The sequence below is a fragment of the Homo sapiens genome, chromosome 6, assembly GCF_000001405.40.
Source record: "Homo sapiens chromosome 6, GRCh38.p14 Primary Assembly".
In the NCBI taxonomy this organism is placed as follows: Eukaryota; Metazoa; Chordata; class Mammalia; order Primates; family Hominidae; genus Homo; species Homo sapiens.
The window spans coordinates 90,672,253-90,688,683 of NC_000006.12; the positions used below are offsets into that span (position 1 = coordinate 90,672,253).

Consider the following 16,431-nt stretch of genomic DNA (forward strand, 5'->3'; position numbering starts at 1 on the left):
GTGATTTTTAGGGCCTCTAACAGTATTAAAGCAGCGGCAGCCGCTGCACGCAGACATGAGGGCTAGGCTAAAACAGTAAGGTCAAGTTGTTTGGACGGAAAGGCTACAGGGTGCGATCCTGGCTCTTGTGTAAGAATTCTGACCGCACTAACCATGCCTAGGAAGGAAAGGAGTTGTTGTTTTGTAGAAGGTGCTGGGGTTTGAGAGATCAGTCGGACACGATTGGCAGGGAGTGCACGTGTGTTTTTATGAGAATTATGCCGAGATAGGTAACAGATGAGGAAGAAATTTGGGCTTGATTGAAGTAATGGGGGCTGTCTGTGAAGCTTTGCGGCAGTACAGCCTAGGTAATTTGCTGAGCTTGATGGGTGTCAGGGTCAGTCCAAGTGACAGCGAAGAGAGGCTGGGATTAAGGGTGCAAAGAAATAGTAAAGAAAGCATGTTTGAGATCTAGAACAGAATAATGAGTTATAGAGGCAGGTATTGATAGGAGAGTATATGTGTTTGGCACCACGGGGTGGATAGGCAAAACAATTTGGTTGATAAGGCGCAGATCCTGAACTAACTTGTAAGGCTTGTCTGGTTTTAGGACAGGTAAAATGGGGGAATTGTAAGGAGAGTTTATAGGCTTTAAAAGGCCATGCTGTAGCAGGCGAGTGATAACAGGCTTTAATCTTTTTAAAGCATGCTGCGGGATGGGATATTGGCGTTGAGTGGGGTAAGGGTGATTAGGTTTTAATGAGATGATAAGGGGTGCATGATCAGTCGCCAAGGAGGGAGCAGAGGTATCTTATACTTGTGGGTTAAGGTGGGGGGATACAAGAGGAGGACGCAAAGGAGGCTTTGGATTGGGAAGAAGGGCGGCAACGAGATATAGTTGTAGTCCAGGAATAGTCAGGGAAGCAGATAATTTAGTTAAAGTGTCTCAGCCTAATAAGGGAACTGGGCAGGTGGGGATAACTAAAAAGGAGTGCTTAAAAGAGTATTGTCTAAGTTGGCACCAGAGTTGGGGAGTTTTAAGAGGTTTAGAAGCCTGGCCGTCAATACCCACAACAGTTATGGAGGCAAGGGAAACAGGCCCTTGACAAGAAGGTAATGTGGAGTGGGTAGCCTCCGTATCGATTAAGAAGGGGACGGGCTTACATTCCACTGTGAGAGTTACCCAAAGCTCGGCGTCCGTGATGGTCTAGGGGGCTTCCGAGGCGATCGGGCAGTGTCAGTCTTCAGCCGCTAAGCCGAGAAGATCTGGGAAGGAGTCAGTCAGAGAGCCTTGGGCCAGAGTTCCAGGGGCTCTGGGATTGGCTGCCAGGTGAGTTGAACAGTCCGATTTTCAGTGGGGTCCCACACAGATGGGACGTGGCTTAGGAGGAATCCCGGGCTGCGGGCATTCCTTGGCCCAGTGGCCAGATTTCCGGCAAGTGTAGCAAGCTCCTGGGGGAGGAGGTTCTGGAGGAAGGCCTGGCCGCTGCAGTTCAGGCATTTGGAAGTTCTTGTGTGCTGCAGATGCGGCTGGGGTTTGTCTCACAGTGGAGGCAAGGAATTGCAACTTTTTTCTGTTATTGTACACCTTGAAGGTGAGGTTAATTAAGTCCTGTTGTGGGGTTTGAGGGCCAGATTCTAATTTTTGGAGTTTTATTTAATGTTGGGAGCAGATTGGGTAATAAAATGTATATTGAGAATAAGACGGCCTTTAGACCTTTTAGGGTCTAGGGCTGTAAAGCGTCTCAGGGTTGCTGCCAAACGAGCCATGAACTGGGCTGCATTTTTATATTTGATGAAAAAGAGCCTAAACGCTTCTGATTTGGGATAAAGAAAAAGGAGCATTAACCTTGACTATGCCTTTGGCTCCAGCCACCTTTTTAAGAGTAAATTGCTGGGCAGGTGGGGGAGGGCTAGTCACGGAACGAAACTGTAAGCCGGACCAGGTGTGAGGAGGAGAGGTGATAAAAGGATTATAGGGTGGAGGAGCAGAGGCTGAGGAAGAATTGGGACCTAGATCGGCCTGGAGAGGAGCAGCCTGGGGAGGAAGGGAGAGGTCAGATGGGTCTGTAGAAAACGAAGATTAGAAAGACTCAGCGACGCTTGGGGTTGGTACTGAGGGGACAGGCAGGAGGGAAAGAAGCAAGATTTGGGACGAGTTGCACTGGGCACAGAGACTAGGAAGGGACTGATGTGTAAAAGAATGCCTGGACGTCAGGCACCTCAGACCATTTGCCTATTTTACAAGAATTATTTAGATCTTGCAGGATGGAAAAATTCAAAGTGCCATTTTCTGGCTATTTGGAATTACTGTTGAGTTTGTATTGGGGTCAAGCGGCATTGCAGAAGAAAATAAGGCATTTAGGTTTTAGGTTAGGTGTAAGTTGAAGAGGTTTTAAGTTTTTGAGAACACAGGCTAAGGGAGAAGGAGGAGGAATGGAGGGTGGAAGGTTGCCCATAGTGAAGGAGGCAAACCCAGAGAAAAGAGAGCATAGAGACACGGAGGGAAGGGGTTCGGGGGTTCTTACCCTCCTGAAAAGTGGGAAGGGGGGTCGGGGCACGGAAATAAGGCATTGGGGCACAGAGATAAGAGGTTGGGGTGCGGAAATAAGGGATTGTGGGGGTTCTTGCACCCTAGAAAAGCGGGACTTGTCACTAAGGGTGAAGGAGAAGGGGTTGAGGGGTACTTGCCCCTGCCCCAGGAAAGCAGAGAAGGGGTAGAGACAAGGAGAGAAGGTGTTGGGGTACCGGCACCAAATTTCATGCGCGTCCGTGTGAAGAGACCACTAAACAGGCTTTGTGTGAGCAACATGGCTGTTTATTTCACCTGGGTGCAGGCGGGCTGAGTCCGAAAAGAGAGTCAGGGAAGGGAGATAAGGGTGGGGCCGTTTTATAGGATTTGTGTAGGTAAAGGAAAATTACAGTCAAAGGGAGTTTGTTCTCTGGCGGGCAGGAGTCGGGGTCGCAAGGTGCTCAGTGGGGGAGCTTTTTGAGCCAGGATGAGCCAGGAAAAGGACTTTCACAAGGTAATGTCATCACTTAAGGCAAGGACCGGCCACTTACACTTCTTTTGTGGTGGAATGTCATCAGTTCAGGTGGGGCAGGGCATATTCACTTCTTTTGTGATTCTTCAGTTACTTCAGGCCATCTGGGCGTATACGTGCAAGTCACAGGGGATGCGATGGCTTGGTTTGGGCTCAGAGGCCTGACATTCACAATATTTGTGTGAATTCCCTTAATGTTACTACAAATACTTAGTTTACAATAAAAGTTTTGAAATTCAGTTCTAATGATAGGGTAGGGTTTAAAGAAGTTTGATAATGAAAGTATTTAAAAATGTAAATGAATGTATGAATATGCCTCAGACTGAGTTATACAACCTTTCCAAAGTGAACTGCAAAAATAAGGATTAAAATAATTTATCAGTCTCTTACTGTTAAATAATAGTGAAATGAAAGCATTTAGACAAGGGTTATAGGCATCACGTTGTTAATTACAGTGGTTGTATTTGCTTTTGTTCCAGTGCATTGTAATTAATGAAGATCTACAGCTCTGTGCTTTGTCTTGGAAAACATACACTGTTTTCTTAGGCATCAATACAGCTACGATATCCTTCACTTATTTCTTAAGAATAACTCTTTTTTAGCACAGGGGAGTCCACTGTTGCAGCAGCAACATGAAAATCACAGCAAGATTTGAGCTTCGACAGATCAGGGAGCAATCGACTCTATTCATGTGTGCCTAACCTTTTCTCAACACCCGACAAATGTAGGCTATAATGACATATGAGACATTGTTTAGACCAACTCAGTAATCATAGGTATAATCTTGGTCTTTTTAAAAATTTCAAGCCGAAAGCATGAGTTTAGAGTACAAGGGAGGAAAAGTTAGCAAGGTTTAAATTAAAATGTGTATTCTAGATCTCAACCTAGATGGTTTAGCCTCTGTGATTACATGAGTTTGCCAGTCTGAATTAGAGAATATGACACATGTTTGGGGAGGGAGAAGGAGGATGGGTAACCTTAGAGATATTAATCAATGATTTGTAAGCGGTAAATCTGAAGAGCCAACTACAAAAGGGAGATGAGGGTGATATTTCTGTCTCCTGTTAGAAGTATTACATAAATGCAGAATTAGTGATAAGAAAAATAATTTCAATTTTTTATCCTCTGTCTTGTCCTGTTTGCTAAGATCCTTCTCCAAAGGGGTACTGGCTCTAAAAGAAAAAAGTGATGATTGGACTTGTCATGTGGTCCACTGGAAGCCTGACGGTTATCTCCTAACAGCCTTCATGGACATTTGAAGGCTCTGCACTGCTGTTATTTTGAAATAATCAGTGTGCACACGAATGAACATACAAATTGTGCCGCTTGATTCTTCTTCCCTTCTCTGCAGGGGCCAACAGGGCACCCTGTGGAGATGTAGATGGGAGAAAATTCCTTCTCTATCTCCCTCCCAAATTCCCTGTTGGAGCTGGGCTTACAGCCTAGTAGGTGTTGGGAAGCACTGACTCATAGCCAGTGCCTTTTTGTGAGGCCACTGGCTTGGATGTGACTCTCTGTACCTCTTAGACTGACACCTGGTCGGTGCTTGACACCTCTGAGAATTCTCAGGGATGCAAATGGTGGGCCAGAGAGAGGCAGTGAGATGGGCAACTCCTTTAGTGCTGAGGAGCTGATGGAGTCCTCTATGTCTTATAAGGCAGAGACGATTTCACGCTCTTGCATAAATCCATAGAGCGTTACAAGTTATGAGTTTCTAAGAGTTCCATTTCCTCTCTGGGTGTTAAAAAACTGGGCTGATTTTTGATATTTTGAAAAGGAGTTTTAGAATTTTGTTGTAAGTGCCACTTATGGTTTTTTAAAAAAGCACTTCCCTGTTTATAGAGGAAAACACTTCATACATAATATGAAGCAGAAAAACTCTCAAATCTGGAAAAAGTTAATTGACTTTAGATAGTCTTATCAAAATACGAACTGATATCATAGGACTCCAGCAGATTTATCCACTACAGATCTTTTACTTTAATTTATTGGTTACTTCACAGAATTGCCAACTGCATTACAGTCCCGTGTGTAGTGGGAAAAGCACTATCATGTAACTCTTGAGCAGATGTGTTACAAGAGTCTTTTCATTTCCTTTTTTAAACTCAAAGAATAATGACACTGCAATATCATGTGGTGAAAAGAGCAATAATTTGATAAACATTGTCTTTCCATTAGATTAGAGCAATTAATCTGATTCTAATTTGGCTGAAACATTATCATACTGGAGTCCCCAGAGCCCTGTGAATAATCTCTAAACACATTGGCACACTCAGTAGACAAACATTATCTTCACTCGCACTGTTCTTCCATATGGTCTCCTCCCATGGTGATGGAGGGCACCCTGCTGTTTCAATCAAATAAATGTCAATTATCTGAGATAGATTTTTAGTTCTCGAGCCCGGACTTGCAGTGCAGCCAGAGTGACTGGGTAGAATGGTCTGAAACTCTTTTCTGCACATGTCACTTGCATTTTATAAGGAATTCACACATTGCCACGTCATCCAGCATTCTAAGAACTTCATAAATAAAATGGTTGATTTCAGAAGCTGTGCATGTGTATGTGTGTGTGTGTGTGTGAGAGAGAGAGAGAAAAACTCTTGACCTTCATTTAGCTTTACTTTGCTCATCCTGAGTAGAGAGTATTTTTTTAAACTCAAGGAGGGATACTTTTTATTCTCCATGATCTGAATTAGGGCTACCATCTATGTATATTCATGTCCTGTTTAGGCACTTCTCCCTTTGTAGTAGCCCTCCCTGTACCTGGATGGAAATCCGGACATAAAGATCTCAGAAACAAAGACCTTCGCCTGACTGTCTGATTTCTTTTGCAGGCCTTTTCCTAGACGTATTTGTTCTGAGCATGGTGGCCTCTGGGGGTGAGAGCTGTAGGATTTTTTCCACCGGCCTTTGCAGGGGTTGCTGGTGAGATCAGCAGGAACTCTGGACTCCAGAAAACAGTAGAGGGAAGGAGGAGGAGAACACACCACCTTCCCCAAGGCAGAGAGGAAGGCCTGGCAAGGGCACTTCAGGTGTCAAAGAGGTGAATCGAGTCTCTTAGAAAGAGGGCTGTACATATGAAGCTGACATCGTGAAACCAAGCAAAAGTAGATGAGGTGAAATGGAATGACATGATGAGAAGGCTGTCACTTCTATGTTTCTTTGCACCACTCTCTATCTTGAGGGTGTCAGTTATCAGGTGTTGGTTTTGTTATCAGACAGGTCCTTGTCTCAAAAGCTTGTAAATTTGCCCGGAGCCCTGAGGGCCTCTGATGACTATGTGTCTAGACGAAAAGCACTGGGTCACCCTCCTTGCTGCTGCTACTGTGACAAGCTGGCACAAAGAGAAAGGCAGTCCATGGGGATCTGGACTAATTCACTGTGGCAATCCAGCAAACGTTGTCAGAAAGGATTTCAGCTTCCCTGTTGGCTGTGATCCTGAATCAAGGAGGAAAGCCACTGAGTGCTCAGAGTGAAAAAATACAGTAGCCGCAAACTCCTCTGCCTCTGACATGGTTTAATCAGAAACTGTCACTCATTGACATCAAATGTCAAGCCCTGGGTCACCCCCTGCATTTAGAGGGCAGGAAGTCCCTGACTCCAGAGGTGGGCCCAGTGCACCTGCTCTGCAAGGCAGGAGGTGTGGAGGGTGGATATTTTAGCAACAGCTGGAGCATTTGCTGAAAAGAGAGAACATTATGCCAGGTTGACGTGTAGAAAGAGGTTCATGAAGAGAAGACCGAGATGAATTAGAGCAATAGGTGCATGGTTAAATATCTAGTCTCTGGAGGGAGGTGGCTTGGGTTCAAAGCCTGATATCATCACTTATTGTGTGATTGTGGGCAAGTCACTTATCCTGCAGAATTCTCAGTTTTCTTATCTACAAAATGGGGATTGATGATAGCCCCTGTCCCATGTGTTTGTTGCAGATACTAAATAAAATAGTGAATGTAAAGTACACAGAATTGTGCTGGCACATAGTATGTGCTCAATAAATTTTTGCAGCTGTTCTTAGAGAGAGAAAGGGTTAGAAGGCTGGGTTTTGAATTGGGTGGCTCCACCACTTACCAGCTTTGTATTTCTCAGTAGGTCACTAAATCAGCCTAAGCCTTCATGTTCTATGTGTCTTACCAATGTCACATGGTTCTTTTGAGGTTCAAGCGAAAGATATGTGGTGCTGTAATGAGGACATAGTAAAGTATAATGTCCTTGGCAAAAATCGTGATAGGCTTCCATTGTGTACACCAGGCAAAGTGCCCTCTTCAGTGCTGTGATATAGAGCAGTTGGATTAAATACATTAAACTCACATTACATGGGGGAAAGGGCTCTGAGTCTGTTGATTTACTAGAGTTGCCATAACAAATACCACAGGCTTAAACAGTAGCAATTTATTCCTCACAGTTCTGGAGGCTTGAAGTGCAAGATCAAGGGGTCAGCAGGGTTGTTCTTCTGAGGACTTCTCTTAGCTTGTAGATATCTTCACATGGTCTTCCCTGTCTGTGTGCTTGTGTCTTCCTAATGTCTTCTTATAAGGATACGAGTCCTATTGAATTACAGTCCACCTTAGTGATCTCATTTTATCTTACTTACCTGTTTAAAGACCTTATCTCCAAATACAGAAGAGAGTAAATTTATATCTTGGGGAGAATTTGTGGGAATTATGCCAAAATGTATTTCTGTAAACTTAAATTTTCTTAGAAGTTTTTTTTTTAATTCCAAAAGTTTTCATGGACTGGGTGTGGTGGCTCATGCCTATAATCCCAGCACTTTGGGAGGCCAAGTCAGGCAGATCACTTGAGACCAGGAGTTAGAGACCAGCCTGCACTTAAAAAAAAAATCATGGATGTTACATTGTTCTTTGTGCTATGTCCATATTTGTTTTCAGGTAAAATAACTTTTAAAATTTCTTGACAGTTAAATTACTTAAAGTCTGTGTTAGGTAATGCTAGCTGCTTGATTTGATTTGGCTGCGTCCCCACCCAAATCTCATCTTGAATTGTAGCTTCCATAATTCCCATGAGTCATGGGAGGGACGTAGTGGTAAGTAATCAAATCATAGGGTGGGTCTTTCCCGTGCTGTTCTTGTGATAGTGAATATGTCTCAAGAGAACCGATGGTTTTTTAAAGGGGAGGTCACCTGCACACACTCCCTTACCTGCTGCCTTGTAAGCTCTGACTTAACTCCTCGTTTGCCTTCCACAATGATTGTGAGGCCTCCCCAGCCATGTGGAACTGTGAGCCCATAAAACCTCTTTCCTTTATAAATTATCCAGTCTCAGGTATATCTTTATAAGCAGCATGAGGATAAACTATACACTACTATAATAAATAAGCCCTCAAAATTCAGTGGTTTGACACACAAAAATATTTCCTTTCTTCATCAACTCTGAATCCAATGTAGGTATATCTGCAGTGAAGTGCTTTTAGTCAGAGGTGATTCAGGAATCATGAACTCAGGCTCCTATCTTCTGGCCTTACCATCTATCTGTATTAGTTATAAATTATAATATATGTAGCCTATTATGTTAGGCTGCTATAGCAAAGTATCATAGACTGGCTAGCTTACAACAGAAATGTATGGTTTCACAGTTCTAGAGACCAGAAGTCCAAGATCAAAGTCTCAACAGGATCGGTTCTTTCTGAAGGCTGGAAGGGAAGTATCTGTTCCAGGCCTCTCTCCTTGGCTTGTAGATTGTCATCTACTTCCTGTGTCTCTTCACATCATCTTCCTTCTATTCCTGTCTGTGTCCGAATTTCCCTTTTTATAAGAACATCAGTCATACTGTATTAGTGGCTCAATCTACTCCAGTATGACCTCATTTTAACTAATTATGTCTGTAACAGTGATACTTTCAAATAAGGTCACATTCTGAGATATTGGGGGTTAGGACTTCAACATATGAATTTTCAGGGGGTTACAACTCAGCCCATAAGAGTCCAACACCAGGATTACATTATAATGGGTATCCTCTCAGTTTATCAGATTTGAATAGAAAGAAAGGTAGTAGAAAGGGTACTGAACTTGATATCATGGCTTCTGTTGGTCTAGTCAGCATTCACACAAATTAGGTGAGTGATCTTAAGGAAATCCTTTCTCTTTTAGAGTCTCAATGTCTCTTTTCCAGTGTTCATGCTAGCATTAACATCTTATAATGGTTTAAATAATATGTATCCATCTGTCACTCTCTCTCCATCCTATCATCCATTCATCCCATCTTCCACCCATCCTTCCATCTGTCTTCTCATTCAATCAACAAACACTTATTGAGTATTTATAATGTCCCCAGTATCAAGTCGATTTCTGGGAATACAATGATGGATGAGACACATTCTCTTCCTTCAAGGCATTTATCAATCTGCTGGGGAGACAGACGAGTAAAATGTAGATGGACTCTATTCTCTCTTCTACATTATAGTCCTTTAAATATTTGAGGAAGGCTAACATTTCCTACTTTTTCTCTCTTGGTTCCTTGTTTCTAAAGTAAGTATACTTTAATTTCCTTAATGATTCCTCACATAACACAGTTTCCTCACTCTTTTAGATTAATATTCTGTGGTATTATCTAGGTTGCTGTCCTTAACAATTCAGAAATAAATACAAGCTGTGTAGCTATACTGCTACTTGATTAGGAAGCAGACAATAGTCAGACTATGCTGGGTCTCACACTGAGTTAATCTGGAGTAAGATTGGATGTGGCAAATTACAGAGCCCTCTCAGATTACATTTTTCTCTCATTTTCTTCAGTGGCCTCGCTCAGGCACATTTACTGAGCCCTTGTTTATCATGGAGCACTTTACTGGACAAAGTTAGCAGACAATTTTCAGTCAAATGCAGAAGTCATAATATTGACACAAGGGCCACAATATTAAAAACAAAAACTAAAACAAAGAAAAGGTTGGGTGGAATGTATCATGCTTATAATCCTAGTGCTTTGGGAGACTGAGCTAGGAGGAGCGCTGGAGGCCAAGAGTTCAAGACTAGCCTGGGCAACATAGCAAGAGCCTGTCTCTGCAAAATATTAAAAAAATTTAGCTGAGCATGGTGGCATGTGCCTGTAGCCCCAGCTAAACTGAGAGGCAGAGGTAGGAGGATTGCTTGAACCCAGGAGTTCAAGGATGCTGTTCGCTGTGATCATGCCACTACATTCCCGTCTGGGTGACAAAGTGAGATCCTATCTCTAAAAATAAACAAACAAAAACCAAACCAAAACAAAACCCCACTAATCACATGTCAGGCACTTAGTGAATTTTGTCTTATTTAATCACTGTAACAACTCTATTAAATATTCACCATTTCATCATTGGAGTTACTGGATCTTGGAGGTTAAACTACTTGCCCATAGTCACATTGTTAGTAGGAGGAGCCTGGACTTATCCCCAGATTTCTTTGATCTTAAAAACTTGGTTCATAACCCCTATGTTTAAGCATCTCTCTCAGAGCCCTCTGTTCAATTAAGGATTAGGAGATTGCTTGGTGGATTTTCTGTTGGGCTGCTCTCACATTAGTTCCCAGGTAAGGAGAAGGCAGCTGGCAGATTTAGGGCAGGCCTCTTGGGAATTATACCTTGATGGAGACATTAGGGTCTTGGGTTTAGGTCTTAGCTTTTCCCTTTCAAGATCTCACTTCTATTATTTTGTCACAGTGAACAGACTTTGAGGGATAGTTTCTCTCTAATAAAATACAAAAGAGAATGATTTATAAACCACAGTCCCAATTTACCATGGGAAATAGAACTTATTTTTAAAATCAGGAGCATTTTTTCAACCAGGCATTCCCTTTTTGTGGGGTCAGTCACTCAGAAGGACAAATAATAATTCAGAAGGTTGCTTGGCAAGCATAGAATTTACAACAAAAAGATTAGGTATTGCCCAAGGGAAGTCTCCTCAGGCTAACCTAACTTGGAGTTAATCCTTCTCTGCCCTGCGGTTGTTTCTGCCTAAATTACTGGAATCCATCTTCTAGAATCACAACATAATTTTCCTTGGTCACTGCTACACTCAGACACACAGACAGTCTAACCTCTCAATTCTCTTTAGGCAATCTTTCTCTTTTGGAAGTATCTATTATCAAAAACATCTCTTGTCACATTACTTCATTTTATAATGTTCTAAATTATTATTTATCTTTATTAGTTTACATTGTAGGTCGTCTGCTCTTTAATGAGGCTTGGGTTGGACTTTCTATTGAACATGGGGCTTTGAGTCATCCATTTTGCAGCAGCTAGGAGGTTTGGGGCATTGATTTCAGCTAAAAGGATGAGCTCTAATTAGTCTATGAAAATCCCAGTAAAGCCTTACTCCCAAGCCAGCACCAGTACCGTTTTCAGGATGTGAGGCTTAAGCTCCCATAGCATATCCTTGGCTGGAGGGCTTGGTCAAAGAATTTGTGCTATGACAGTCTGGATAAATGGGATATGAAGGTAAACTTGGCAGAAGGGCTATTCTGGAAAAAGTTTCCCTACTTTTAAGTGGGAGCCATAGAAAGAGTATGGGTGTAAGGCCAGAATGGCTAAAGCTACTTTTCTGACAATCTGAAGACAAAGCCTCATGGCAGAAGGAAGAACACAGAGCAATGCATGGAAATGGGGCCAGAGTCATTGCATTAAGTCAAGGCCAGAGCCCAGCCTGCCTCTAGACTTTCACTCATGTAAATTCCCTTTTTGTGGGAGCCAGTTTAATTTAGGTTTTTTGATACAAGCAGCTGAATGTATCAATTGAAGGATGACTTTCTCATATCCATTTTATATTCACAAACCATCAGGAAAAGTTCTGCAGATGACCAAAGCTATTCATTATATGTGATTTTTTTAATACTCTCAGTTTGGTGAGTGAGATCTTTTAAACAGCCATTTGATTATGAGATCCAATTTACCATTTGTGCAATTACAATAGTTATCATTAATCCAGCTCTAGCTCATAGCAATATCAGCATAGCCATTTCTTTGAGCTCAAGGCAGGAACTGGCTCGTAAGAGTCAAATGCATTGTTCCTTAGAGCCATCAATTCTCCAGCTCCAAAAGTCTGCCCTAGACTCACCCTGGCACTAAGAGCATCTTTGTTCAGCACTGATATCACAGATATTGTCAGAAGACTTTACTGCCTCTGGATCCCCAGCCGAATCAAATGTAGTGACCTATTGTTTAGGATCTGAACAGAACCACATATGCTGTCAAACTGCTGGTTCCTAATGAAGGTGAGGCTATGGGAGAATGTACCAATGTACTGCTTCCTTCACACAATCTTCCTATGGAAAAAAAGAAGTCAGTTGAACTAAACAATGTGCTTCATGACCTAATTCACTTACTTTCTGAAGCAAGCTCTTTATCCTGTTATGTGGGTTAGTAATAAATAGCTTGACAGTTAGTCCGTGGACCTAACTTTGAATAGTCATTCTCTCATTCATTTATCAAACACTTACTGCACTAATATATGTAAGTAACCTAAGAATTATCTTGGGAGTTATCTAAGAAATCTTCTGCCTTTCTCTTCATGTTCAGCCTGGCATCACACCTTCCTCTATTCCTGCTGTCATTAGCTTGATGCAGGCTTCCATTGCTTTCTGAAACACTGCCATTGTCCTGCCAGTCTTGCCTTCTCCGGGCTACAATATGCTATTAAAAAATATATTGCTCAAGGTGCTTTCTAGCTTCTGTGTCAATGAAAGCTACTATGGTGGACTTTTTGCTGAATATAATACAAATGGATGTTGGCGCCTCATACTGCAAATGTTCTTGGTTAATGAGCCTTCCATCACACTATCCTGAGATAAGCGTGTACTGCAACTTGTGTAGTTTCCTCTGTAGTCTCTTTTTAATGCCATCTGTGTACTGGAGAACTAGACCTGTGGCAAAGAGACAAAGAAAGAAGATCTTGTTGGATGTTATAATACAAGCTGTGTGATAGTTAGGCATCTCTAGCCATAAAAGGGTGGGTGGATGTTCTTTGAAATCGTGAAGGGCATCATAGTTATCATTGCAACCTGAGAGAACCAGCCAACAACTGTATATAATGAATGATAGTGGAGAGAAGATACAGTCAGAAGAATATAATAATTTCAGATGATTTGATAAGAAAGGAAGTGCAACTGTACTTGGGGATTTGGGTATCTTATCTCTCTGGGAATGATGCTTTATTGACTCTTAAGTGGTAATTATAATTAAACCCAATTTTTACCAGTGCATTCCTGTGCTTAACAGGGTTTTTTTTTGGTGGATACTTAATATTATAATCTCTCTGTCCCTTAGTTTTTGAAGAACTGAAGATTCAGTTTATTAGTATTTTAATAAATCTCACTAGAATGGATCATATTCTTCTTTGCTTTATTTATGTCAATGCTGTGAAGCATATTTAAATTTTTTATGATAAATTTTTGATTTATAATTAAGAACATTAAATATATTACTCTGTAATGTGGTGATATCTTTGGTAGGTAATTAAGTTATGTGAAACTGTTTTACCTCCATATACACCTCATATGTTTATTTGGAGGTAAAACAATTACCTAGAACATTTTGGATAAAAATGATTAATGAAGGGAGTCTCTACCAAGTACTTTAATGCCTTATAAAGCTACAGTAATCAACAGTGTTTTGTGGTATAGAAACACAATATATAGCCAAGATATTTATGCCAATATAGATAAGTATTCAGCATATAGTAAATGTGGAATTTCAAGTTAGTCAGGAAATAATAGATTATTAAAATGAAGGCAGGACAATTATTTAATCATTAAGACCAAAAATAATGTTTAGTCAACTTTGTATGATTAATCTCAGATATATTAAGAAAGTACTAGAAAATGTAGTAGAAATAGATATTTATATAATACTGGGATGGGGAAGGATGTTTTTAAAGCGAGAACTTAAAGTCTTAAAGATAAAGACAGATAATTTATGTACATATCAATTTTAAGACTTCTTTATTTTAAACACACTCAAACACAAAAGAAAAAAATGTTGTCTCACCGATTAGGATGGCTAATAAACAGAAAATAGAAAATAAACAAGTATTGATAAGGATATAGGGAAATGAAAACACTCGTGTGCTACTGGTAGGAATGTAAATGGTACAACCACTGTCTAAAATAGTATGTTGGTTTCTAAAATATTAAAAATAGAACTATCATATGATCCAGCAGCTCCACTTCTGGGTATAGATCCCCAAAAATGGACAGATGAGACTTGAAGAAATATTTGTGCACCTGTGTTCGTAGCAGTATTATTCACAATAGCTTAGGGATGAAAGCAACCCAAATGTCCCTTGACATGAATGGATAAACAAACTGTGGTATATATGTACAATGGAATATCATTCACCCTTAAAAGGGAAGGAAATTCTGACACATGCTACAATATGGGTGAACAGTGAGGACACTATGTTAGGTGAAGTAGACCAATTGCAAAAGAGCAAATACTGTATGATTCTCTTTATATCCCTAGAGACAGAATGTAGAATGGTGATTGCTAGAAGCTGAGGGGAGAGGAAAATGCATAGCTATTGTTTATTGGGTACATAGTTTCAGTTCTGCAGGATGAAAAGAGTTCTGGAGATGGATGATGGTGATAGTCGCATAACAATGTACGTTATGTCATTTAACTGTACGCTTAAAAATGGTTAAGATGGTAAATTTTATGTTATGCATGTTTGTAAAAATATTTTAAAAAATAATAATTTAAAAAATAATAAACAAAAGAGGAATGGTGGTGCTTAGAGTCAAGAGCATGCTCTAGCGTCAGGCACAGCTGGGTTTTATCTGGCTCAATGGGTGTAGGCAAATGTGTTAAACTCTGTGTGCCAAACTTTCTCATCTCAGGGTTATTTTGAAGACTCAGTGAGATAATTTCTGTAAAGTGCTTTTTATAGTGCTTGGAACACAATAACTGTTCAATAAATGCTGCATACTGATCTGTTAAAAGGCAAATGATAAACATATTATTGACTATTTATTATTTTTATTTTTAGAGGTCAATATATTATTGACTCTTCATATAGACAATATGTTAAGAACTCTAACAAACCAAAGAGAAATGATAAAAACTCTAGAGTTTATGGAAAAATAGTATGTTAAATTTTATCGACAAAGAATATGTTAGTATTTTTTATTTCAAGGAATGAGGCCTTTTCTGGGCTAGCTTAAGTAAATGGGGACTTTTTGAAGAATAAATTTTAAGAGAGATAGAGTCTCGGAGATGCAAGAATAGGAAATCGACACAAGATTGGATATAGGTCTAAAGTAGTTCTAAGGATCCTGACAGTAGAATCTACATTTCAGCGCTCTGTTGTTAACGTAGTTTATCTCCTCTTGTTTAGTCTCTGTCACATTTCCTCTCATCTAATATATCATTGACTCACTCCTTTATACCTTACCTACATCACAGCTCTTGCTTATTCCTGATTTGTGCTTCTTTATGTCTTTGATTTCTGCATGACTTTGCTTTGCTGCTGACCATTCATGGATCTAATTCACAGTATCTTCTCAGCTTTAGTTCCCACTGCTAACAGTCTGATTTTTCTCCATTTGTTTGAATCAAATTATTCGAAGTAGAATTGGATTGGAACATTCCTTGTTTTTAGCAAGAATCTTATTGGACCTTTCTTTGTTTCTAGCAAAGCTTTTTAGATCAGGTTATCTTGAAGCTCACTGCTCAGCCACTTTCAGCTACATTTATGTCACGTGACCAGTCCTATTCCAATCAGCTGTGGTCTGGGTGATAAATTTCTGTGGTGTAAAACATGATGATCTAAGGCTGCCTCTACAGAAGGAGCTATTTTGTGTTTCATGAATCACTTGTAATGACCAGATTGTTGAATTTTTCTAGTTGAAGATTTGACAACACCATTTTTATGTCTGCTTTTAATAGTTCATCCCTATCTGTTTCTATCACCTTGTTCACAAGCTGCTAATCTGTTATCCAACCTTCAGTCTATGAATCAGAGCAGGAAGAACAGAAGTGTAATGGGAACATAAAATTACCACATAAGATAACCATATCAGTAAGCTTGATTTACCTTCATCTGTAGAAGCGAGTAAGTCAACAAGCCCTAGTTTAAGGGTACTTTTAAAATTCTCTAATAAAGCACATGATCTTGGCTTAGAGGCTTTTTGGATTACTTGGGTTGGTCTGGATTCTGAGAAGGTGAGGTGGCTAATGTCTAACTATCAGATTAAGCGTAAGTTTCCCATACATCAGAGCAGATGTGACACCTTTATTGACAGTATGTCCATATTGTTTTATGTTCTTGTGTTACTTTTTCCCCCCAGTAATGCCTTTGCATGAAATGCTTTCCTTTCAGTAAAAAAATAAGCCAAATTTTCTTGTTATCTTCTGGACAAGGGAGGGGGTGCTTTTTTCGCGGAAAACAATTAACAGTAATATAAAACTTTACAGTGTCAAAGTAAGATGATCT

The 16,431-nt window shown here is 40.4% G+C and overlaps 1 long non-coding RNA gene across 1 annotated transcript in view, besides 4 other annotated features; it reads left to right on the top strand.

The window, feature by feature from the left end:
- The window catches only part of LOC107986623 (uncharacterized), a 324,476-nt gene that overhangs the window by 40,857 nt on the left and 267,188 nt on the right, over positions 1 to 16,431 (top strand). The window lies entirely within an intron of this gene.
- Positions 1,145 to 2,100: an enhancer, noted in NCBI's record as "NANOG-H3K27ac-H3K4me1 hESC enhancer chr6:91383116-91384071 (GRCh37/hg19 assembly coordinates)". NCBI's record gives its function as "activates a minimal SCP1, AML or CMV promoter by ChIP-STARR-seq in naive H9 embryonic stem cells {active_cell/tissue: H9 hESC(naive)}" and the evidence as "EXISTENCE:reporter gene assay evidence [ECO:0000049][PMID:30033119]".
- Positions 2,101 to 3,055: an enhancer, noted in NCBI's record as "OCT4-NANOG-H3K27ac-H3K4me1 hESC enhancer chr6:91384072-91385026 (GRCh37/hg19 assembly coordinates)". NCBI's record gives its function as "activates a minimal SCP1, AML or CMV promoter by ChIP-STARR-seq in naive H9 embryonic stem cells {active_cell/tissue: H9 hESC(naive)}" and the evidence as "EXISTENCE:reporter gene assay evidence [ECO:0000049][PMID:30033119]".
- Positions 4,012 to 4,965: an enhancer, noted in NCBI's record as "OCT4-NANOG-H3K27ac hESC enhancer chr6:91385983-91386936 (GRCh37/hg19 assembly coordinates)". NCBI's record gives its function as "activates a minimal SCP1, AML or CMV promoter by ChIP-STARR-seq in naive and primed H9 embryonic stem cells {active_cell/tissue: H9 hESC(naive and primed)}" and the evidence as "EXISTENCE:reporter gene assay evidence [ECO:0000049][PMID:30033119]".
- Positions 6,275 to 7,079: an enhancer, noted in NCBI's record as "H3K27ac hESC enhancer chr6:91388246-91389050 (GRCh37/hg19 assembly coordinates)". NCBI's record gives its function as "activates a minimal SCP1, AML or CMV promoter by ChIP-STARR-seq in primed H9 embryonic stem cells {active_cell/tissue: H9 hESC(primed)}" and the evidence as "EXISTENCE:reporter gene assay evidence [ECO:0000049][PMID:30033119]".